The 25,168-nt window shown below is 45.7% G+C and overlaps 1 protein-coding gene across 7 annotated transcripts in view; it reads left to right on the top strand.

Moving 5' to 3' along the window:
- Nucleotides 1-25,168, top strand: part of MAP6 (microtubule associated protein 6) — an 82,121-nt gene that overhangs the window by 41,250 nt on the left and 15,703 nt on the right. For 2 of the 7 annotated variants that reach the window (XM_017017755.3, XM_017017756.2), the window contains exons 2-4: nt 19,467-19,680; nt 20,527-20,574; nt 21,785-21,981. In XM_017017755.3, coding sequence (XP_016873244.1) covers nt 19,467-19,680; nt 20,527-20,574; nt 21,785-21,981 — 459 coding nt within the window. The other 5 variants (XM_017017758.2, XM_006718556.5, XM_011545039.4 and 2 more) reach the window with 5 other exon arrangements.

The following is a 25,168-nucleotide window of genomic DNA, read 5'->3' as shown; positions in this document are numbered from 1 at the left end:
TTGCTGTCCAAGGTCAAGACACGGAACCCCCTGAGCTCCTGTTTCCTCATCTGTAAAACGAGGATGATAATAACAGTGTCTACTCCATAGGATCTCCATGACGATTGAATGAGGTAGTGAAAAAGTGTGCCTCATACAGTTTCTGGAACCAAGAAGCTTCTCTGTCATCTACCTTCACGATCATCACCATTACCATCATTAGTCTGAAAGCAAATCAGTTTCTCACTGTGACGGTCCCCTTGTTTTCAGGTCCTTTTGTTTCCAACCCTCCCTCCTCCTACTGTTTGGCCAGAGCACACACACACAAAGACACATACAGACATGGACGTACGTGCAAGCACAGCCACATGTGCAGAGCAGAGGCCGTTTAGGCGTGTCTTTGATGCTGACACTTCCACACCCAGCACTCTGGTGCCCCTTACTAACTGGTTTATCTCTGCACACTGCCCTCCCAGGAACCTAATTAAGTTGTAGGCCTGTGTGAGGCCAGCTGCTGCTGGACCATCAGCATCTCTCTTCCAGGACCCCTAGGTCTCTCCAAATGGCACAGAGTTCCCTGGGGCAGAAAGACGGGCTAATCCCATTGTTGGGAAGTCAGGTGCGGAGTGTCTGTGTTGAATGATTACAAGCATGAAGATGATTTTTGAATCTCACAGAGGGATGCTCTGCATATTTCCTCTCTGCTTTCAGCCATTTCCTAGGTTATACACAGTTTGGCTCTGCTCCAAAAAGAGAAAACATAAGTAATAGGACAGTAGGCCTGTTTTCAATTTGTAATGCATTTTTTTCTGCCACCCGTCACAATTAGATTTCACTCATCGCCTCCTGCCAGTGGTTACAGGGCCCACTCTGGGCCTCCTCACCTCCCTCTGTTTCTATGGGTTATAGCACCTCTGATATCAAATGACTCAAATCATTTATTTTCCTCTTCTGCCCTTCACTAGATTGTGGGCTCCTTGTCTTTTCTTCCCAGGGCCTGGATCGTAGTCTCTCTGAGGCCCTAGATGAGTAACCTCACCTCTCTGAGCTTAGTTTCCTCATCCATAAAACAGAAAGTAATAGTGCCTAACTCAAAAGGTGGCTCTGAGATTTAAATTAAGTAATGAATGCAAAGCACCTGATACACAGTGGGCCCTCAGTAAAGGGTACCGATATTATAATTGCTGCAGGCACTCAATAAATGCCTTAAATAATTTATTAGCAGAAGTGACACTAAGTTTGTAATTTAGATTATTATTAAATAAAACATACTTGAATCTGCAGCCTCCAGTCTCTCCCTATCCCAGCCTCTTATTGCCCCAAAGTGGTCTGAGTCACCAAAACAAAATACCTCCCGGGCCACATCATCACGTCACTCCTCTGCTCTTAGGTCTTGAGTGGCTCCTGCTGCTTCCAGGGTCAAGCCTGAGCTCCAGTGTGTGGTCCCTCCTTACCGCTCCACCTTCTTTGCCTCTACTGGCCTTCATATAATTCTTAGCTATAAAATGAAAGTGTTCAGATGTCTGTCCAGCTCTGCTACTCCATGATTCTTATGCAGTCATATTCACTCAGCAAGCCTTTTCTCAGTGCCTGCTCTGTGCTGGGCTAGGCTCAGATACGCTCCTGTCCTCTAGGGCATCCAGTTCAGAGAGGATATATGCTTGTCAAGAGATGACTGCAGCAGACTGGGATGCCGTGTGGAAGCTGGAGTGAGAGTTTTCATCCTGTCTTAGGGGTCAGTGATGGCTCACAGAGGTGATACGTGTGAGGTCAAGCAAAGAGCATGGGGCCTGGGAGAGCATTCTAGAAAGAGAGCAATATAAGCAAAGACCAGGGATGTAGATAAGCTACTCAGAGGACGAGAGTGGGAGGCAATGGGCCTACAGAAGTGGGCTGTGCTGGACTGGACCCGTGGTCTGGCTGGGGAGTCTGGCCTTGATCCTCCAGATGAGGAATTAACAGAGGTCTTTTAATCAGGCCAAGCCTATTTTCAACCATGGCAGAAGTGTGCCTCCCTTCTGGTACTGTAATTTGTGCATGTGATTGGTACCAAATTTTATTTTGATATTTAAGTAAGAGAAAAAAGTTGTGGGATTCTTTTTGTTTGTTTGTTTTTTGTTTTCTGTACAGAAACTGATTGCTGTAGAACAGTAGGAAAGTGTCAGATCTGAAGTTAATGGTTCACTCTTGAATTTGAGTTCTGGTCCTCCTGTTTGTTAGCTGTGTGCCCTTGAGCAAATCGCTCACCTCTCTGGGCTTTGGTTTTCTCATTAGAATGAGGGGAGGTCCCTGCCTGGTGGCACTGTGTGGGGATTGAGGGCATGTTTGTGCAGCATCTGGTGCACACTGTAGGCCCCAACATCCTCTTCTCTTCTCTCCCCCTCAGTCTCAGGATGCCAGCCTGACCACCTGCATAGCTGACAGATAAAGAATGCAGGGTGCTGATGCGAAGGAGGCTTCCTTTGAAATATTAATTGCTTCCCCCAAAGACTAGGTGTTTTCAAGGGCTTTGTTTGCTCAGCTGAATGCACATGACATGATGGGCTTGGACCTGCCATCCCAGGCTGCCTGGAAAATGCCTCTAAAGATGACTCCAAGCGCTGTGGCTGTGCTAATGAGTTTGTGGGGATGATCTTCTTATGAATGCTGGGAGGGAAGGATTGCAGAAATGTCAGTGCCTCTCCTTCCCTGCCTGAAAATCCCTACTCTTCTAAAACTGCCCTGAGATTCCTCGGCGAGGCCCTTGAACTCCCAGAGCACCTGCTCTCCCCAGGCTCTGGTGTGTACTTTTGTTTTCTTTGTGTTGAGTGAGGCTTACTGCCCCACTCAGCTGAACATTGTTAGAGGCCAGTTCACATCTTTTTGTTACTCTAGGATGCATCCTCAATGCGTGTTGAACAGAATCGCCAGCAGAGGCCCAGCGGCATGAAACAATGCTTACTATGTAGGCTGAGCACCTGCTGTGTGCAAAGTGTGTTCAGTAGGCACTTGTTGTCCATTGGAATATGAGCCTGGAGCCAGGTAGGGACGTGCTGTGAAGGTGATCATGCCTTTCGAAAGAACATGACTATTCTCCTGATGGGTCTATGCATTATGCTGACTTGTGCCCTTAGCCTTTTTCTATCTACTCCCTTTTTTGGCCTATATTTAAGTTGCATCTCGGGTAGAAAAGAGAAGCAGAAAATTCAAGGCAGGGATAGTTCATGCAGACACAGGCTAATGAACATGCTTCAGGCATCTACAGGGCAGCTCGTGGAGCTTGAGATACGGAGTTGGATGGGCCTGGGTTCCAGTCAGGCCCTGACTGGCCATGACACTTCAGGGAAGACCTTGAACCTCTCTGGGAGCCAGGGGGCCTCCAGCCTTACTGGGCTGTGCTGATGGTGAGAGAGTGAGTGCATGTAAGTGCCGCCCACCCCTCTGGCATAGAGAGGAATTAAGGAAGTGGTGCAGCCACCCTGAGCAATTGGCCTCTGAGGTGCTGGCCACAGCACATCACTGTCACCCTGGGTCCCAGCCCAGGCAAGTTTTGTGCTACAGCTTCATGATGAAATTCCACATCCCATTTCTGAGGAAGCCTCTCTGGATTTCATGGCCTGAAAAACAAGTCTCACATTTTCTCAGACACTGACACCTCTGAGCATGTCTATTACTTCTCCTAGAGTTAGCAGGTTGCTGAAAAGCTTGCCGAAAGTAAAATTACAATGTGAAAAGAAAGAGAGATATCGAAGCCAGAGAAGGTTAGTTGGGCCTGGGTAAATGAAGTCCATGATTCACTCACCAGACTGCCCACCCGCTGCTGGCCTGGCTGCACATCCCTGATGCACCCCAGAGCTCTGGCCACCGCAGGTGAGACAGTGTGGGCAGCCAAGGGTCTCAGTGTGGGCAGCCGGGCTTCATCAGCATCACTTCCAGGGAATCAGTAGCAACAAGAATCAAAAGCAGCACAAAATGCAATAGAAGTGGTATTTCATGCCACTTTCATCATGGATGAATTGCTTGAACCCGGGAGGCAGAAGTTGCAGTGAGCCGAGATAGCGCCACTGCACTCCAGCCTGGGCGACAGAGCGAGACTCCATCTCAAAAAAAACGTAAGACAAAGGTGTTTATTCGTTGGTTCAGTAACACTGACTTGAGTGCATGCTGAAACATGCCAGCCTCCAAACCAGGCACCAGGGACGCAGAGATGGGTCAGATGCCACCTCTGCTCTCCTAGGCCCCACAGATGAGCTTGGAAACAAATAACAAAGATCACAGTATAAGTCAGACAAAGAAGGTGAGCATCAGAGGAGGCAGGGATCACCTCCTTGCAAAGGGAGGGGTGTCAGGAAAGGAGATGTTCCAGCTGGATTTTTAAACAGCTTTATTGAGGTATCATTCACATAACATAAAATGCACCCCTTTTAAGTGTATATTTTCATGAGATTTAGTAAAATTATACATTGGTGCAGCCGTCTCTGAAAGACAGTTTTAGCATCCTCCCTCTCACTCACAAGCCTCGGCAACCACTGATCTTTCTGTTTCTACAGTTTGCCTTTTCTAGAATTTTCATATAGTTGGAATCATACAATATGTGGTATATTCTGTTAGCCTTCTTTCATTTAGCATGCTTTTTAAGAGTCATCCATATTGGTTCATTTCTTTTTGTTGCTAAGTAGTATTCCATTATATGGATACACTCATTTTGTCTATTCATTAGTTGATGGACATTTAAGCTATTTCCATCTTTTTGTCAAAAATAAATTGACCATATATGTGAGCCAATGGTATGATGATAAATGTTTAATAACTTTTTCCCACTATCTGGAAAAAAAAAGGGCCTTATTTGTCCTATTTACAGTGTTAGCCAATTTCCTGATATGAATACTGTCACATGGATGCTTTCAAGCTACCAATAATTTAACAATCGGTTCATTAAATTCCTGAAAATTTAACAATTATTTCTGTAAGCCAGTGTGAGCCAGCTTTAGCACACTTCTGTATGCAAAGATCTATTTCTGAACACTCTATTCCGTTCATAGATCTATATGTCTATCCTTATGTGAGTAACACACTGACTGATTACAGTAGCTTCATAAGTTTTGAAATCAGGTAGTGTAAATCCTCATACTTTGTTTCTCCTATTCAAAATTGTTTTGGCAATTCTAGATCTTTTGCATTTCCCTATAAATTTTAAGATCAGCTTGTCATTTTCTACAAAGAGTCCTGCTGGGATTTTGATATTAGTTGCTTCGAATTTATAGATCAATTTCTAGAGAGTTGCCATCTTAACAATGTTGACTCTTGCAGTATATGAATATGGTGTATCTCTTTATTTATAATATTTCTTCAATCTCTCTCAGCAGCATTATGTAGTTTTCAGTGTACAGCCATTGCACTTCTTTTTTTACATTTATTACTGGCTGAGTGCAGTGGCTCATACATGTAATCTCAGAACTTTGGGAGGCCAAGGTGGGAGGATTGCTTGAGCCCAGGAGTTTGAGGCTGCAATGAGCCATGATCACACCCCTGCACTCCAGCCTGGCTGACAGAGTGAGACCTTGTCTCTTTAAATTAAAAAATAAATTAAAAATCAAAAAAAACTTATTCCTATTGTATTCTGCTTGATATTATTGTGAATGAACTTTTAAAATTTTATATTCCCATTGTCTGTTACTAGTATGTAGATGTACAATTAATTTTTATGTATTGATCTAGCATCCAGCAATCTTGCTAAACTCACTCATTTTTTCTAGTAGCCTTTATTGGGTTTTTTTGTTGTTGTTGTTTTGTTTTTTTGGTTTTTTTGAGATGGAGTCTTGCTCTGTGGCCCATGCTGGAGTGCAGTGGCATGATCTCAGATCACTACAACCTCCACTTCCCGGGTTCAAGCGATTCTCCTGCCTCAGCCTCCTGAGTAGCTGGGATTACAGGCACCCACCACAACACCTGGCTAATTTTTGTATTTTTAGTAGAGACGAGGTTTCCCCGTGTTGGCCAGGCTGGTCTCGAACTCCTGACCTCAAGTGATCCACCCACCTTGGCCTTCCAAAGTGCAGGGATTACTCGGTCAATTCCTGAGTATTTTCTAAATGCAAGATTATGTTATATGCAAATAATGACAGTTTGTGTCTTCTTTTCTAATCTGTATGCCTTTAACTTCTTTTCTTGTTTTATTATGGATTACCCGGCCAATTCCTGAGTATTTTCTAAATGCAAGGTTATGTTATATGCAAATAATGACAGCTTTGTGTCTTCTTTTCTAATCTGTATGCCTTTAACTTCTTTTCTTGTTTTATTATACTGACTATGACTGTCACAGAATGTTGAATAGAAGTGTTGAAAGTGGGCATCCTTACTTTGTTCCTGATCTTAGGGGGAAAGCATTTGGTCTTTTACCATTGAGTATTATGTTTGTTGTAGGGTTTTTGTAGATATCCTCTAGTAAGTTGAGGGAGTTCCCCTCTATTGCTAGATTGATGATGTTTCTTTTTCTTTCTTTCTTTCTTTTTTTTTAAGTAAAGATAGGGTTTCATTATGTTGGCAAGGTTGGTCTTGAACTCCTGGCCTCAACTGATCTGCCTGCCTTGGCCTTCCAACATGCTGGAATTACAAGAGTGAGCCACCACTCCCAGCAATATTTCTTTTTATCATGAAAGGGTGTTAGATTTTGTCACATGCTTTTTCTTTTTTTTTTTTTGAGATGGAGTCTCACTCTGTCACCCAGGCTGGAGTGCAGTGGCACAACCTTGGCTCACTGCAAGCTCCGCCTCCTGGGTTCACGCCATTCTCCTGCCTCAGCCTCCCAAGTAGCTGGGACTACAGGCACCCACCACCACGCCCGGCTAATTTTTTGTATTTTTTAGTAGAGACGGGGTTTCACCGTGTTAGCCAGGATGGTCTCTATCTCCTGACCTCATGATCCACCCGCCTCAGCCTCCCAGAGTGCCGGGATTACAGGCGTGAGCCACCGTGCCCGGTCTGTCACATGCTTTTTCTAAGAATATTGAGATGATCATATGGTTTTTGTTCTTTATTCTGTTACTGTATGATGTATTATCCTAATTGATTTGGAATGTTAAACTGAGCTTGTACTCCTGGGATAAACTTTACTTTGTCCTGGTGTTTAAATCTTTTTATGTTGCTGGATTTGATTTGCAAATATTTTTTTAAGAGTTTCCACATCTGTATTCATGAGGAATATTAGCCTGTAGTTTTCTTTTCTTGCAGTGTCTTTGACTGGCTTGGTATCAGGGCATCAGGGAAATGCTGTCCTCTTAAAATGAGTTGAGAAGCATTCTCTTTTCTTCTATTTTCTTTTTTCTTTCTTTCTTTTTTTTTTTTTTTCTCTCTTTTGAGTCAGTCAGAATCTTGCTCTGTCACACAGGCTGGAGTGCAGTGGCACCATCTCTGCTCACTGCAAACTCCACCTCCTGGGCTTAAGCCATCCTCCCACTTTAGCCTCCCAAGTAGCTGTGACTACAGGCATGAGCCACAACACCCAGCTAATTTATATATATTTTCATAGAGATGGGATTTCACCATGTTGGCCGGGCTGGTCTCAAACTCCTGGGCTCAAGCGATCCACCTACCTCGGCCTCCCAAAGTACTGGGATTACAAGCTTGAGCCACCATGCCCAGCCTCTTTTTCTCTATTTTCTAAAAGAAGTTGTTAGGATTGATGTTCATTTTTTCCTTAATGTTTGATAGAATTCACCAGTGAAGCCATCAAGCATCAGACTTTCTTTGTGTAAAGATTTTAAATTACTAAGAGAAATGCACATCAATACCAAAATGAGATACCATCTCATGGCAGTCAGAATGGCAGTTATTAAAAGGTCAAAAAATAACAGATGCTGGTGAGGTAGAGGAGAAAAAGGAATGCCCATACACTGTTGGTGGGAATGTGAATTAGCTCAACCATTGTGGAAGACAATTCCTTAGAGACCTAAAGACAGAAATACCATTCAACCCAGCAATCCCATTACTGGATATATACCCAAAGGAATATAAATCATTCTGTTATAAAGACGCATGCCTGTATATGTTCACCGCAGCACTATTCACAATAGCAAAGACATGGAACCAACCTAAATGCCCATCAATGATTGACTGGATAAAGAAAATGTGATACATATTTCTTTTTTTATGTCCTTTGCAGGGACATGGATGGAGCTGGAGGCCATTATCCTTAGCAAACTAACTCACAAACAGAAAACCAAATACTGCATGTTCTCACTTATAAGTGGAAGCTAAATAATGAGAACACATGAACACATAGAGGGGTACAGCACACACTGGGGCCTATCAGAAGGTGGAAGGTGGGAAGAGGGAGAGGATCAGGAAAAATAACCAGTGAGTACTAGACTTAATACGTGGGTGATGAAATAATCTGTACAACAAACCCCTGTGACAAACTGTACATGTACCCTTGAACTTAAAAGTTAAAAAATAAATAAATAACAAATAAAAAAGATATGTACAGATTTTAAAAAAAGATTTAAAATTGTGAATTCAATTTCTGTACCTGATATAGGTTTATTCAGGTTTTCTATTTCTTCTTGAGTCAATTTTTTTTAAAGCAAATAAAACATTTTTTCAGATTTTTCTCTTTTTTACAAAAACATCCATACATACACAGGGTATGGTGTGTCCTAGGAAAGACACACACTAACATGCATGCCTCACTCACACACTCACACATACTCCTTGCACACACGCCTCATGCACACACTCACACACACTTTCCTGCTTGGCCCCAGGCCTGGACCTCCAAAAGCCTTAAAGACTTTTCCAGAGCAGCCTCCCCTCCCCATGTCTGTATCTTCCCTCCCACCCACTCCCCCTCAGCCGGCCTAGTCCTTTGTGGGGCAGGAGTCAGAGCTGTGGTGGGGGAGGCCCCAGAAACAGAGAAGGCTCACGAATCGGGCAGTGGCCGAGGGGTCCCAGGGATATGCTGTGCTTCTGGGGGAGACAAAGGGTTTGGCACTATTGGATCAGGAAGCACAGGACTCCCAGAGCACCTGTCGGCTCTACCAGGGCATCGACAGGAGGTCAATTTAGGGGGGCCTCTGGCCAGGGCAGGGACCAGATGGAGGTCTGCCGGTCTCGACTGTCAGGGAGCTTTCTCTCAGTACCCGGTGGTGTGGGGAAGCTTCCAGAGTCATCTGAGGAAGCAGGTGAGAGGGACTCCCCCTGCACTCAGGGATAAGAGTCAATTTTTTTTTTTTTAAGTCTCACTTTGTTGCCCAGGCTGGAGTGCAATGGCATGATCTTGGCTCACTGCAACTCTACTTCCCAGCTTCAAGCAACTCTCCTGCCTCAGCCTCCCAAGTACCTGGGATTACAGGCGCCCACCACCATGCCTGGCTAATTTTTGTATTTTTAGTAGAGATGGGGTTTCACCATGTTGGTCAGGCTGGTCTCAAACTCCTGATCTCAAGTGATCCTCCCACCTCAGCCTCCCAAAGTGCTGGGATTACAGGCGTGAGCCACCACGCCCAGCCAAGAGTCAATTTTATAATTTTCATCTTTCTAAGAATTTGCCTACTTCATGCATATTGTCAAATTTATTGACATCGAGTTGTTCCCAGTATTCCCTTATAAAATATTTTAAAGAGTAAATTAGCATGGTTCTCAAGAAGTCATAAAATGATGTTATTTTTAGTGCCAGCTTTGTTTAAAACACATTAAGCACTTTTTTCAAAAAAAAAAAAAAAAAAAGCAGAAACTTAGGTTTATGGAGTACTTCACTAGATGTACCGTACTGTGTCCTTCGCAGTTTTTACAGAGTATACTGTCAGAACTCTAGGTTACCCCCGAAGGAGCAACACTCCCTCCCACCTTTCAGGGCTTTTCTGCCTTCAACATTTCCATTTCCAGTCTAGGGAACCATCTTTCTGCAAGGACAGACACAGATCGTTGGGGACCCAGCTAACCAAAAGAGCGTAGCCTTCTCTCCTCAATCTCAACTGAGAACTCTATGGCCTTGTGGCACAACCACCCCAGCATTCCTAGGACTGGTAAACCCTGACAGTGACGGGGAAATGGTTATGGGGAAGTTTTCTTACAACCTATCACTTCTCATCTATCTCTTATTTCTTTCTACTTGAGGTATATTTGTAAGTGTACTTGTCTTAACTCTCACACTCCCCCACTCTTATCCTCCACCTCGGCCAACCGTAAGTTTTCTTATTTTGCACCATTTTTCTTCCTACAGTTTCTAATAAATACTGCAATTGAAATTAATTTGTGTAGAATCAAACTGACTCCTAGTTTGAGTTTTTGGGTTTTTTTTTTTTTTTTTTTTTTTTTTTGGAGACAGTCTTGCTCTGTTGCCCAGACTGCAGCACAGAGGCATGATCTTGGCTCACTGTAACCTCCGCCTCCCAGGTTCAAGCCATTCTCCTGCCTCAGCCTCCTGAGTAGCTGGGATTACAAGCACCCGCCACCACACCTGGCTAATTTTTGTATTTTGGTAGAGAGGGGGTTTTACCATGTTGGCCAGGCTGGTCTCGAACTCCTGGCCTCAAGAGATCTGCCGGCCTTGGCCTCCCAGGGTGCTGGGATCATAGGCTTGAGCCACGGTGCCCAGCCTAGTTTGAGCAGTTTTCATTTTTAACTATCCATCCTCATGGTTTTATACACATTGTGCCTGTGGACTTTCTTTGAATGAGACATTGTTTCCCAGATGCACAAGGGCCTCTAAGCTGTAGGCCACCCATAACTAGACTTAGATAGCAGCTATATGCAGAATGAGCCATTTACCTAGTACAGGGGCCCAAACCTTGACACCTATCATTGCCAGATGTTACCCATACAAATCTTTCTATGTAAGAGAGAGGGAGCATTCTTTTCTATTAATTATCTACTCACATTAGCTTCAAACTTTTCTTTATATACTTGACCATTTTTCGTCCAAGTATGTGCTTTCCTCATTTTATAAAATCATCATCCGTGGTATACATGTACTTACTGGATATTAACGGAGGAGAAAAATGATCCTAAATAATTAGAATACTGGCATTCTCTATGCAATACTTTTTTCTCCCTCTCACACAAAAGAAACTGAGAGCTGCGCACAAGCATGTACACATACATAGATCTTCAAGCTCCTCTCTCGGCCCAGTCATTTCTGGCCAGGAGAAAGCAATCTTCCACTACCTTCTAAAAGGAGACAGAAGCTCTCTATGCCACTTGCAACCCTCTAGGCCCCAGGTTGTTCTTTCTTTTTAATCTATAGATCCTACTTCCATTAACCACCTCCTGACAATAGCTTGGCAACCGACAGCATTCAGTGACTGCCTCCATCAGAGTGCACGAAGGAGATGGTTTCCCTTCTTCAGAAACATTTTACAATAACAAATGTAGACAAGATTTTTGAACGGAGACTTAACATGTTTCCATGGCAACATAAATCACCTACGAAAATCTGTAGGAAGACTTTAGACCCTTAAGACTTAAAAGCACTGTCTTCTTCCTTTGTAAAGCAGTCGAGGAATGTCAAAAAAATTTTATAAAGAAGATGGGAAAAGAATTTTATTTTCCCAGGATTTAGACACATAATAAATAATAAATACTTAGATACATAATAAATAAATTCCTCTTCCCTTATGAACAGAAAAATTGAATTTTTGTATGATCATAGTTGGCAGCAATCCATTATCCTAAGTCTCTGCTCTTATCAAGAAACGATTTGTACCAATTAACATATGCAGATGTTCTTCACAGCAGTAAAACTTGTTCCTTATATAATTCTATTTCCTTGTTTCTTGTAAATGTCAGCGTTTTTCAAATTAGCAATGAAAGCACAGCCTCCCCTCTGTTCTTTTACAACACTTTCCAGGGCCAAACCCCACCCCCCGCCCCCTGCCGCCCCGCGCACTCCTGTTGGCTCCCTCCCTCCCTCTTCTGGGGCCTGGCCTCATCAGTGACAGGCTGTCTTCAGGCTCTCCCTCTATAATTGCTCTTTCAGTATCTCCCGTTGAATGACTGCAAGCAACTGTGCTTAAGTGGAACAAGGTCTTAAAAAAGGAACATCTGTTTATAGTGGGTACTCAGTATTGGAGATTCAATTAATCAGGCATTCATTGAATGCTACTTTGTCCAAGTCTAACTTGAAATGCGCTCAGAAAGAAGCCTGGCGCTGGAAGCTGCTGCCCAAATTTTGCCCACTCTGGGCACCAGAATGTTGACTTCAGCATTCAGAAGTATAACAATAGCTATCACAGATATTTGATTATCTGTGTAATTGTTGATCTCTCCCCACCTGACAACAAGGTCTGTGGAGGGAAGATCTTCATCTCTCTGTACATACTGCATTTCTAGCTCCGTGTCTGGAGCACAGAAGAAATGCAATAATTTTTCTTGAATAAACGACTCTGTAATGAAAGTCAAATACATTTATTATGCACGTGTCTACCATGGGCTTTGTAATTCTTCTGATATGAATGTCCAGGTCCTCTTCAACTAAAGAAACTGCTTTACATTCTTTCTTATTTAACCCCCACATCAATTCTATGAGTAGGCCGTATGTAAATCCTTTACAAATGAGTTCACCAGTGTTCAGAGCAGGCAAGACCTGGCCCATGGGTTAGAGCTAGGATGGATGTATCTCACTCCAGAGCCAGTTCTCTTTCTAGTAACTCATCATCATCATCTGGCCCAGGTTCCATGTTTTCTCTCACCCTGTTAACCTCTGTCTGCACTTCCGAAAGGCTTGCATGTGCTGTGTGCTCTGAGACATCATTTTCTTCTGTGATGGCCTGTGTTTCTTTTTTCTGCTTATGACCTGGATCCAAGGCAGGTGCATCTTTATCAGCTTTGCTGCACTGGAGGTTTTGCTACCTTCTAAAGAAGGCTGCAGACCATTCACCCTGTTTCTTACAACAGAGTATGACTTCTCTCCATTAAGGTCATGCTGCAGCTCTGCTGGAAACTTGAACTTCTGTGCTCTGCTTACACCAGTATTTTCTGTCTTGCTGAGATGACACAAGTATTTTAAACCCTTTTTGATGAGAAGAGAAAATTTTCTGATTGGGGTTTGTATTAGAATTTGTTGCTTGTAACAAATTACTCCAAAACTTAGCCATGTAAATGGCAATAAATATTTTTGATCTCATAAAGTTTCTGAGGGTCAGTAATCCAGGAATGGCTTAGCTGGATGGTTCGAGCTCAGGGTCTCTCAGGAAATCATGTGAAGGGTGGTTTGGGTCTTCTAGGCCTTTTCACCCCCATGGCTTTTGGGAGGAAGCCTCAGTTCCTCCCGACATGGGCCTCTCCACAAGGGCTACTTGAATGTCCTTATGACATGGCAGCTTGCTGCCCCAGAGAGAGTAATCCCAGAGAGAGTACAAGGAGGAGGCTACAAAGCCTTTAATAAGCCACTCTCAGAAGTCATGCACCACCACTCCCACCATCTTCTGTTTGTTAGAAGTGAGTCCTCAAGTCCAACCACACTGAAGAGGAAGGAATTAAGCTCTACGTAAGGTAGAAGTATCAAAGAACTTGTGGGCATATTGTAGGAAGTTATATGGATGCCATGAGATGTTGCATAGCAACTTTACACCCCGTCCCTGGCTGGAGCAGCCGCAGGGAGGTGGGAGCTGCATTCCACATCCCTGTCGTAGACATGATGAGACTTACATGGATGCAAAAGGACAGCCTTTACTCTCAGGGATGGCACAGTCTGGAAGGGAAGAAAGTCATCTACACAGGTAGCTTGAGGTAAAATATAGCACAGTGCATGCTACAGAGAGGTACAGGTCAGAGAAGGAACAGAGAGACCAGAAAGGAGGAGTTGAAGGTAGAGTGTTTGTTGACTCCTCTGAAAACTTTGCCTGATCAGCAAGATCCCAAAGTCCTGCTTTGGCAGCTGCTGTGAATGTGACTATATGGCTGTTCAAAGGTTCTGGAGGAGCAGCCCAGAAAAGTCTTGCCCACTAAGTCTCCATGAGATGGCTCAAACTGGGCCTGGCTCTGCCATCCCTTAGTAGGGGGTTGAAGGCTGGCCCAGCCTTCTCTCCATAAATTTTCCTAGCACAAGTAAGCCATCAAAGAGTCATTTAAACCCAGATCTGAATATATTGATTGAGCCCATTCATCTGCAGTTCACCCACCCACCGGGGGATATCATAGCCCCAGACTCTCTTTCTGCCCCTGCAGGATTGTGTATGAGATAGGTCATGCATCAAGGCTCAAATAACAGGGTCCACCAGAGGCTCTGTTGTGGAGGGGACAGCGGGCCTTTGGTGATGCAGTTAGAGAGCACCCTGTCCCTGTGATTTCTACACATCACAATACAAGAGAAGCTGTGGCATGAGGAGCATCTCTGGGATGTCAGGAGTAGAAACTCACGGATATGGGACCCTCCCAATGTGCCCCGGGCCTCACTGTGGTGTACACCCAGGCTGACTGAAGGGAAGGGCTTTCTTGTGATTACTTCCAGGAGCCAAAGTGACCATGAGCTTGAAGGAAACGAAGACAAGCTTGGGTTACACATCCATCCCCAGGTGTGAGCTTTGGAGTCAGGCATTCCTATGCCACCGAGAAGCAAGTGTGTGCCCCATGTAGGGCAGGGAAGGAAGGGCTCAGGAGGAGGTGACATCAGCTGACCAGAAATAAATCTAACAATAGCTACTTCCGTTAACTGCCCACTGAATGTCAAGCCTTTAAATCCTGTGAAGAATGTAAAGAAGATATGGAGTGTGGCCCTGGGTGGCAGCACAGGGTGTGGGAGACAGGCAGGGATTGGAGTCCTAGCCTAGCTTGACCCTAACCTGCAGCCTGACATAGGATGCCCCTTTGCAGCCATGCAAATGAGACTGGACTCAAGAGTAGGATTCTGTCATAAATTTTGTCTTATCTTATCCTTTAAGAGAGACAGAATGGACTCATGAAAGAATTGAAGAATGGCATGAAACTGCCTGCTAACCACAAAGATGGCCAGTAAAGTAAATGGGCCAGGAGCTGAGAGATGGGAAATTTTGGGTTGAGTAACCCAGGAGAGGTTCCTGGAAGAGGAGAACCCTGAGCTGGGCCTTAAAGAATAGCTAGTATTGGGGCAGACTGATAGGAGGAGAGCACCATCAATGGAGAAACAGTGCTGCTTCGCTCAGAAACTTTCAGCATCTTCCCAGGCACAGCACATGCTTCCAAACATGGCATGCAGGCTCTGTGTCACCTGGCCCCAGCTCCTATCCAGCCTGGGCACCTTGCACAGCCTCCAAGACCCCAGCCTGCACCCTGAGCAGCCACCCTGATCAGTTCACCTGCTCTCTCTGAACCTGCCATACAGACTCAGACTGGTGCCTGAATTCCCTTCATCCGCTTTTCTGTTGACATCCTTCAATAACCCTTTCCCCAGTCCTCACTCCCCTTCAGAGTTAAGCATTCCTTTCCCTCTTGCCCTCTGATCCCTGTCCCATTTGATTCATCTTGTCTTTTCTTAGGATCAGACATGGTCAGGTCTAAATACCTGAACTCTAGACACCTCATCCATGGCTTACACATCCCTGTGGGGTACATTCCATGCCCTTGGCTATTGTGTGGCAGATGCCAAATGAATGGATGAGTGAATGGATGAATGAATGAATGAATGATCAAGAAAAAATGTAGTTGCACAGGAAGGGGAGACCATGTTACAGGGGACCATGAATTTCTGTCAAGAGGCACTGGGCATGACAGGGCAAGAGTGTGGCCCATACTGCTCTCAGTCTAGCATCTCAGGGCTGGAGGAGCTTAGGTGCCATCTAGCCCGGTCTGTGTCATGTAAGTCCTCTACAGCATTGCAGGCAGCAGGCCAGGCCCTGCACAGGCACCTCCAGTGAGGGCAGGCCGAGCACACTGCAGCTCTGGCACATTGCCGAAGTGTAGTGGGAAGGCTGTGGGCTGTGGAGCCTGACTGACCTGAGCTCAGACCCCAACTCTGCTATTTGCTGGTTGCATTGCCTTATGCAAGCCACTTAACCTCTCTGAGCCTTGGTTACCTCCTTTATAAAAGGGGCATAATAGTACCTGTTCTCAAAGTTGTTTTAAGAACTATAGAGAATATACAAAATAAAACAAAATCCTCCAGCTTATAAAAGGCAACTAATGAATGGTAGCTAATTTTCTTTCTATGACGTAATATTAGTTGTTGTATGTGATTAGAGAAGGTTTTATGGAGAGTTCAAAGAAAGTTCTTTTTCTTTTATTTTTTATTTTTTCATTTTTTATTATTTGGCTCATTTTCACACCTTGACGAAGTTTCTAAGAAATGGAATTTGGGCTTAAACCTAACCATCTGTCATAATTACAGTGAACCTATCCTGCAGCTCATTAACAAGGTCTCATGTGAAGATGATGTACCAGAGTTGTTCAAGATCAGGAGTTACCAAACTTTCCCACAGGGACATGTCCCACTGTTAGTGCTCACAGGTGAGACGCTCCCCAGCCCACAGGGGCCACTGCAGGGATGCAGGAGGCTGCAGAGGTTGGTCTGCAAGAGGTGACCCAGAAACAGCACTTAGGAATAGGGTACACCTATCTCAGTGCTAGTTCTGAAAGTGGGCAGGGGTGCGACAGAGAATCCAAGTTTCTGCCATCATGTGTCTGGGAGCCAGGTTGTCACTGATTGGGTCCTGGAGGCCCAGGCCCAAATACCAGGAGCCCATCTAACAGGCAAGGCTTCGACTCTGAAGGATAGAGGGAAGGAGGGAGGGACTGTAGCCTCTGGCAGGTAACGGTGGCCACAGCCCCAAATGTTCCCTGGGCCAGCCCTAGGCCTGTGTGTAGGGCCAAAATGGTTCAGAAGTCAGGTCAGGAAGGAGGATTGAACCTAAAGAAAGTGGAGAAGTGAGGAGGAGGGGTGAGGAAGGGATCCAAGAACAGCCTTGTTGCTGGGGTGTGTGGGATGCCGTGAACAGAATCAGGAGAGCTTCAACCTCTTTCCAAAGCCTATTTTCTTCCCAATTTCCACGTCTCAGTGGGGGACTACCGCCCCCCAGCCAGAGTCCTGGAGTCTCCCCAGATGCCCCCTTGACCTCACCTCATGAGTTTCCAAGTCCTGCCCATTCTCCCTCTTGACCCAGCACCCTCTTCTCCGCCCCCTGCTTCCCCTACTTCCTAACAGCAGTCTCCTGCCTGGCCTCTTGCCTCCACTATTCCCTTCTGTCCACCATTCACACTGCTCTCAAAATTCTCTTTCCAAAACTAACCTGGCCACACTCATCCTTGGCTTGAAATCATTTGGCAACCCTTAGCTACAGTGGAGACTGTCCCCTTAACATGGCTGGCATGGCCTCCATGGCCTGTCTAGCCTCTTATGCCCTTCCCCACTAAATGTGAGCCCAGCCACCCACACTGCCTGCAGGTTGGTCCCCACAGGGCCTTTTCCTACTCACTTGGGTTCCATAGCACCCAGCATCCTGTTAGGCAGACCATAAGCACTCAGTACATATTTCGTGAATGAATGAATGACTGAATGAATGGGTGAAAATGAATGATGAGGGAGTCCAGGAGGAGAAAATAATTTTTGGCAGGGAAAACAAGACGATTTGGTTCTAGGGACATTGAGTCTGAGTTGTTGGTAGGTGTCTTTTTCCATTTTCTGTTGCCTATAACAGAATATCTGAAACTGGGTAATTTATAAGAAATAAAATATATTCCTTACAGTTCTGGAGGCTGGGAAGTCCAAGGCCAAGGAGACGTATCTGGTGAGGGCCTTTTTGTTGGTGGGGACCCTGCAGAGTCCTGAGGCAGCACAGGGTGTCACATGGCGAGGGGGCCAAGTATGCTAGTTGAGGTCTCTCTTCCTCTTCTTATAAAAGCCACCAGTCCCACTCCCATGGCAACTCATCAATCAATTGCCTATTAATACACTAATCCAGGAATTGGTTAAATCATTCATGAGGGCAGAGCCCTCATTACCCAGTCACCTTTTACAGGCCCCACCTTTCAATGCTGCCACACTGGGGATGAAGTTTCAACGTGAGTTTTAGAGGGGACAAACATTCGAACCATAACAATGGGGCATCTAGGTGGGGACCCAGGCTGCACTGGAAAGGAGAGTCTGAAGCTCAGGGAAGGGTCTCTTAAAAGCCAGTAGTCTCTCTTCACATATGAGCCAGTTCCCCTAAAGAAATACGGAGAACAGGAGGTCAAATAACCGGCAAGTGGCTCAGTGTTACCAAATCAGCTTTATCAACTAAGACAGCCTCAGAGCTAGAAGGACATTATAAGGACCTTGTTTGGCCTAATTCTTTCATTTTACAAATGAGAAAACGAATGCTCAGAGCAGGGAAAGGCCTGCCAGCATAAGGCAGTGCTAGCACGAGAGCCTGCGTGTCTCCGTCGCAGTCCAAGCTCTTTCTCCTGCCTCCTGCGGCCTCCTTGTTCCTGGCACTCCTCTCTGAGCCCCGAAGGAGGGAGTCATCAGTGAGGGAGACAGTGGGACTTGGAAGAACCTAACTCCACAGATATTCATGCCCTAACTCCTCCTTTCCCACAGTGCAGCTTTTTGTGCCCCCAAAGGAGAACAGACCCAATAAAGACCCCAGAAGCCACAGAGTTCATGCATTGACTCTCGTGCACTTAACAAACAGAATAGACCCTCGTGGCCTGTGTCAACAGCTACATTTTTTAACTCTGTTTTGAACATTGTCAGCCATCTACTCTCCAGCCCTATAACAGATCATAAACAGCTGATTAGAAACCACGAGATGGATTGCAGAGAACAAGAAAACTGACACATTGACTCAAAAAAGCAGCAGATGAGGATCATTTAGGATAAGGACCAATAGCCATTTACACCAAAGCACACGAAGATGCTCCTACACACACACAGCCCAACACAAGTCGTAGTTGTGATCTCCAAATTATGTTCAGTCTGTGTTGCTTACTAACGATCTGCAAATATTTAGACATTTCACGAGGATGTTCATCTAAAGTGATTAAGATTGTTAAAGTTCTGGCCCTCCAAGAAGCAAGCCCTCTGCTATTCAAATGGGGGAATTATCCTCAAGGAATCTGGGCAACAAAAGTTCTTCATTATGAAAAAGGGGGGAAGGGAACTGGCATTCATTGATATGCCACAATATATCAGACAGTGTGCCTAATACATTGTCTCATTTAATTTCACAACTCTTCAACTTTGCACATAGCAGGCACTCAATATTTTTTGACTTCATGAATGACTGAATGGGTTGGGTTTTTTCAGTCTCATTTTCAAGATTGGGAAAAAGAGCCCTGAAGATTAGAATTGCCTGCCCATGGTCACACAGTGTGGAGCTGGGAACCTGATCTCTTTCTCCAAGGCACAACTGCTATTGCCACAACCCAACCTGGGTCAACTTTGCAAGAAGGGAGACTTGCACTCTTCCTTATGAAAGAGTGAGGCTAACCCTCCAGCCACACTTCAGTCAATGCTGCAAGCACTGATGGAGAGCTTGCTGTGTTTGCAGCCCTGTGTCAGGAGCTCTGCTTCCAGGCAGATGATGCTTCATATCACATATGCTTTCTTTGACTAACAGGAATGAATTCAGGGCATGGACGGACATCAAGCCTGTGAAACCAATAAAGGCCAAGCCCCAGTACAAGCCCCCAGATGATAAGATGGTTCATGAGACCAGCTACAGTGCTCAGTTCAAAGGAGAGGCCAGCAAGCCAACAACAGCTGACAATAAGGTCATTGATCGCAGAAGAATACGCAGCCTCTACAGCGAACCCTTCAAGGAACCCCCAAAGGTGAGACAGACCTTGTGGGAACCCATCAGCACAGCCTGGACCATAAGGGTTAACTGCAGCAGAGCATGGGGTGGGCTGCTGTCAAATCTGGCCCAGCCTCCACGGGCACCTTTAAAATCCCTGCTTCCTCTAAAGCACACTGAGACCCAGGGCCATCTTCAATAGGAACCTTTGTTAAACTCAAAGGGAATATTAAAGAGGAACATCACCTAAAATAAAGACAGCTTAAAGGCTGGCAGATTTCCAGGGAATTAGCTTCTGATTTTGAGAAATCCAGATAAACAATGGCAGAAAACCTCACCTGAGCCCTAAATCCCCTTGTCTTAAAATAGATGTGCTTGGGCCCCAGAAGGGCTGGCCCAGTATTGTAGGCCCCCATGCCCGGCTCCCCTCCCACCAGACCCTGCCTTGCCTCATCCTTGGCTCCAATCACTGGACCCTTTCTTCCCTCCCTAGTCCCTGAAAAGCACCTGCCCTCTCTCATCTTCTCGGGCTAAACACCATCCACTATGACTTCTCGGTCTGTCACAACACACCTGTCACATCAGCTATAATATATGTTCCCAGCATTTGTTACCAAAATGAACAGTTTGTGAAAGTGGACTCAAGGATTTTCCTAAGGTAACATTCCTCCACCTTACATAGGAGTTCGTGATCAGGAGAAGCATGTTGGAGATATAGCTGGTGAAGCAGGAATCATATAAGCCATGCAATCTAGCATCTTCTGATGTCAGGCCCCATGGAATTGTACAAATATCCACTGTCCTCTCTATAATAGCAGAAAATGCCTGAGAACTTAAATAACTCTGGAACCTAATTATCCTTTTCTCTGCTTTTGTCCTAAAGTCTTGCACTTCAGTGGAGTTTCCTATTTGGCCCAGGACCAGTTTATGGGTAAGGTAACTAACCGACCCAGTTTGCCTGGGATTCTTCCATTTTAGCACTGAAAGTTCTGTGTTCCAGGAAACCTCTCAGTTCCAGGCAAACCAGGACGATTGGTTCCTTTCCTTACAGGTCAGGAGTGACTGAAAGCCGCTGCACCTCAGTGAGTGAATGATCCAGCCTGCAAGGCCCAGCATCAGCTCTGTCCATCCAGAGATGGTGTGGCACCCGGGGCATGGGGTTAGCATTGGACAAAAGAGGACGTAGAGAAGGAAGGAGGGAAAATGAGGGAAACTAAATCTAGAGATAGATGAGGGGGGTGGCCTATTGAGGGGTCACTTTCAGTGACTCCGAAGTTTCCTGAGAAAGAGCAGGCAAGGCCATCTTCTCCAGATGAAGGGGACAGAGCTAGAGGAGGGAGGTTGGGGAGAGTGGAGTGAGCTTAGAACTGCTGCTCTGGGGAAAATGGTGGAGGAGCCAGGCAGAGAGGAGGAGCAGAGTGCTGGCAGTGGAAAGCCTAGCTGAGACTGGAGATGCCCCCCTGCCCAAAGCATCTCAGCGAGGATGCTTCTCCATATGGGTGAGCCAGCCTAGAGACAGAACAGGGGAAGCCAGCGGGTGCTGCAGCGACCCACCGCCCCAGAACATCTGCATCTTACATCAACAAAGGTTTATTTCTCATTAATATCCATTGTGGGTTGGCTGCCACTCTAACCCTCGTTGCCTCTCCATCTGGGTCTTGGGTGGCAGAGCAGCCTGTCTCTGTGGCAGAGGAAAAGAGAGCACTGGGCAGCACAGGCTGACTCTCAAATTTTCCGCCTGAAGGTGACCCAAGTCACTGCTCACATTTCATTGACTAAAGCAAAATCCTATGCCTGTGGGTGAGTTGAGCAACGTGATGAGGTGTTAACTTCCTACAGGGAGGGGCTCAAATATTGCCCAACAGTGGTATGGCCCACTGCCTGGGGTGGTCGGTGGAAGGCTGGCAGGACAAGGGAGACCACGTGGCCAGTGGGTGCTGCCAAAGTGACGGAACAGGGAGTTCAGACGGGAGATGCCGAATGCCCTAATGTCCTTGGGAACACCTTATGCACTGTGCTCCACCTGAGCCAACCTCTGTCATTACCGTCATTCCTTAATTAACCATATCTTTTCTCTCTAAATTCCTTCCCACGCCCCACCTTTTTGTGTTTCTGTATTTGCGGTCTGTCTCTCCGTACAGGTGGAAAAACCTAGTGTTCAGAGTTCCAAACCAAAAAAGACCTCAGCGAGCCATAAGCCCACGAGGAAGGCCAAAGACAAGCAGGCGGTGTCAGGCCAGGCTGCCAAGAAAAAGAGCGCGGAGGGCCCGAGTACCACCAAGCCAGACGACAAGGAGCAAAGCAAAGAGATGAACAATAAACTGGCTGAGGCGAAAGAGTAAATTTCCCTGCACTTTCCTTTTACTCTTCTCTCTCTCTCCCTCCCCCCAACTTTTTTTTTTTAAACCAACAAACCAAAAAAGGCCACAAAATTAATTAGAGGCTTCTCATCTGCCTTGGTCCTGAGTGTTCCAGGAGCTCTTTGGTTTGGCTTCTTTTGATGGAAGAATCCTGCTTCACAGACTGAGTGGCAGGCCTCCTCCTGAGGGCAGCCCCTGGAGCACCAGGAAGCGTTGCCGCTGGCTGTGCCCTCCCCTGGCACTCTGACTGCATGCTGATGAGCAAGGCAGGCAGGTCTGAGAGGCGAAACGAATCTCCCGGCAGTGCTTGGAAGTGTCTGTGGGGTCTCCTCCTCCCAGATCCCCAAGATCTGTGTCACTGGTCGATTTTGAACTTTAGGTACATGTGTTCTTTTCAAAAATTCAGAGAATCGTCATGTGCCACAGAAGCTCAGCCTGGGCTTCAGCAATTGACAAAATTTGAAGAAATATTAAACAAAAATAACAAAAAAAGAAACAACCTTGGCCTTAATGTCAATAAAAGGGAGTTGTGTCTGTTAAGTGGTCTTTTCATAGAATCGTCCATTAGAAATGTGTGCCTGTGTTTAGCTTCCTATCAGTGGGCTTTAAATTGTATACCGAGTCATAGATACGCCACTGATAACTAAAACTAGATCAGGGCTGGTGAAGAAGGTTAGGTGTTTTAGGTACATTCCAGCTGTCATAGGAAGATCACAGAAATGAGGAGGCTGTTTTCCTCTGATTCTCCTCGGCCGACCACCTGTCCAATGCTGCTGGTTTCGCAGAGCGACCGGTTGGAGATGTCTGAGGAAGAAAGTTCAAGGTGTAGGGATAGTGTGTTTGGAATTTGACTTTCCATTTCTGAGACCCAAGGGGGCGTAGATGTAGTGGCAAGTGTGGCGATGTTTACTCTCCCTTCCTGAACCGCTCTGGTCTGCTCCTCAGAGAGGGCAGCGGTGCCAGGCCTCAGGTCAGGGAGAATGTCTGTGACTTAGCTGCAGACTAGGAGACTGCCCTGCTAACTAATTAGCAAGCAGCTTTGACCTCATTAATATATAAAAGCAGCTCTCAGTATATTCCGTGTCGTGTGTGTGTGTGGCCAAAGCCCCCAAGGGTGGCAAGTGCCACCTTCGCTGTGCTAGAGTTGTGTTGTAGGAATTAGTCAGGGAGTTGTTGTGAAAAAAAAAACCCCAGTGCTTGTGAGGGAACTCAAAATAGTTACCAGAAAAATAATATTTGCCAATATGACGTGTATATTGCTCAGCACACTCTGTATCTCCTGTCCTTAAAATCCTCTTGTCCCCGGCATTCTGACACACTGGGCTGCCGTCCGGTGTCAAGCCCCGGCGCAGGCTTGCTCTTCTTTTACAATGAAAGGGGTGAAGAGTGAGGGTCTCACAGTTCCTTACCTCAAAGTCCCTTTAGGTCCTTCTGGTTTGGAGGAAGTGGAGCCTCCACGAACTCTCTCTTACTCCGACCATTCAGGCAGCAAAGTCTCTGCTTACATCATTTTGGTTGTCACCTTGGGGCTGAGTGAGAAGTCTTTTGTAAATTAATTCGGCGTGTGCTACATGAGCCATAATTATTAACAGAACAGGAATATCAGAAACGAAGTTGTTGATCAGGCCCACTGCGACCTTCCTTTCTATCTCAGGGTTTAAAACTGTGAGGAAGGAGAAGTATGAAGGAAGGTAGAAAATGCTGGTGGGTCTCCGTGTTTATGAGTCACAGATTTTGAAAGCTATCAGGAAATGACTAGAGTGGATCCTGGCACTGATTCCAACTCTTTGCCAGCTAATCTTAACATTTAGCAGAAAGCTCTAGCAACATGATCTTAATTGTATCCAGAGGATTTGCCAATGTATGTTCAGTCTCTCAAGATTTGGCATTAGTCAGACATGTTGATGCTAGCCACAATTTGGATTTCTCCATAGAATAATCATTTATTTTTGCAGATCAAATAAATCAGAGTTTACAATGCACAGGGGATCATTTATTTAGCATTCCCTTGCTAGAAGCCCGTGTGCCAGGCACTGTGCTAGGCGTGGTGGGCAGTATAAAGAAATCTGTCTCCACAGCCACACAACCAGAGGGTGCACATGACTTGATCCCTATGACCAAGTCAAGTTGGTGTTGCCCAAATCGCAGTTTGACATAAGGGTCCCACAGGCTTCCCCACCCCCCGCCCCCACTCACTGCCCCAGGGACCAACTTCCTACCCTCACCCAAGGCTTTAGAGGACCTGTAGCATGTCTTTTTCAACCTGTCAGTATCCCCTTCTGCTTAACACACCCACTGAGAAAACCCTGTTTGTAGTTCACTTTGACTCTTGAATGTGTCACTTTACTGGCAAGAGACTTCCTTTGATTTCTACTGTTTACAAATAAAACTCAGCCAGTCTCATTCTATATCCCAAACGTACTGAATGAAACTGATTTTGGTTCCACAAGCAGTGTTTGGGTGTTGCCTTCCTGAAGGTGACCAAGCTTCCAAAGCTCGTCCCACTGGCCTCTGTACATTTCCCTGTGGTTCTCCGTCCTTCCCTGGCGAGGGAGCTGGGACTGAAGCTTTCCCGCTGTTTCCCTGCCTGCAAAAGCAGCCCCAAGAGCTGCGCATTGGCTTCCCTCAGCAATCTGTCCTGTCTGTGCTCCCATTCGGTCCACATAGCTTTCTTTGCCTCTCTGAGGCAGACAGGAAGTGTCTAATTACGATTTTGTGGCCTGGGTTTTGTTGCATACCACAGATTGTCTATGTAACATGTAGCGCACACCTCTCTTGGTGCTATTTCATTCCTGCTGTAAGAGAATGACAAAAATATTCATGTATAGCCAATTGATTGTGACGTGCTTGTGGTCTGTGCTTGCTCAGAAAAACAAACAAACAAACAGTTTTTCCAATTATAAATAAATGCTAAAGACGAACACCACTTTCTTGATCTTATTTCCTTGGTGAGGCCCACCTGAGTAGGTGAAGGAATGAACCTTTTGCATTTGAGCCATTCTCTGCAAGATGAGCTGTGCCCTGCAGTCTTCCTGGGGCTCTCCATAATGCAGCTTGACTCTTTTAGATTGCCTCTCAGATACTATTGGCAAGCAGTCAGAGCTAAGTTTTGGGAAAGCGAAGATGGACCGGGAGACGCACTGGCCAAAAAGGTAGTGTAACATT

Source organism: Homo sapiens, chromosome 11 (assembly GCF_000001405.40).
Source record: "Homo sapiens chromosome 11, GRCh38.p14 Primary Assembly".
NCBI lineage: Eukaryota > Metazoa > Chordata > Mammalia > Primates > Hominidae > Homo > Homo sapiens.
The sequence above is the reverse complement of the archived record's forward strand: the minus strand, read 5'-3'. Positions and strand labels throughout refer to the sequence as shown.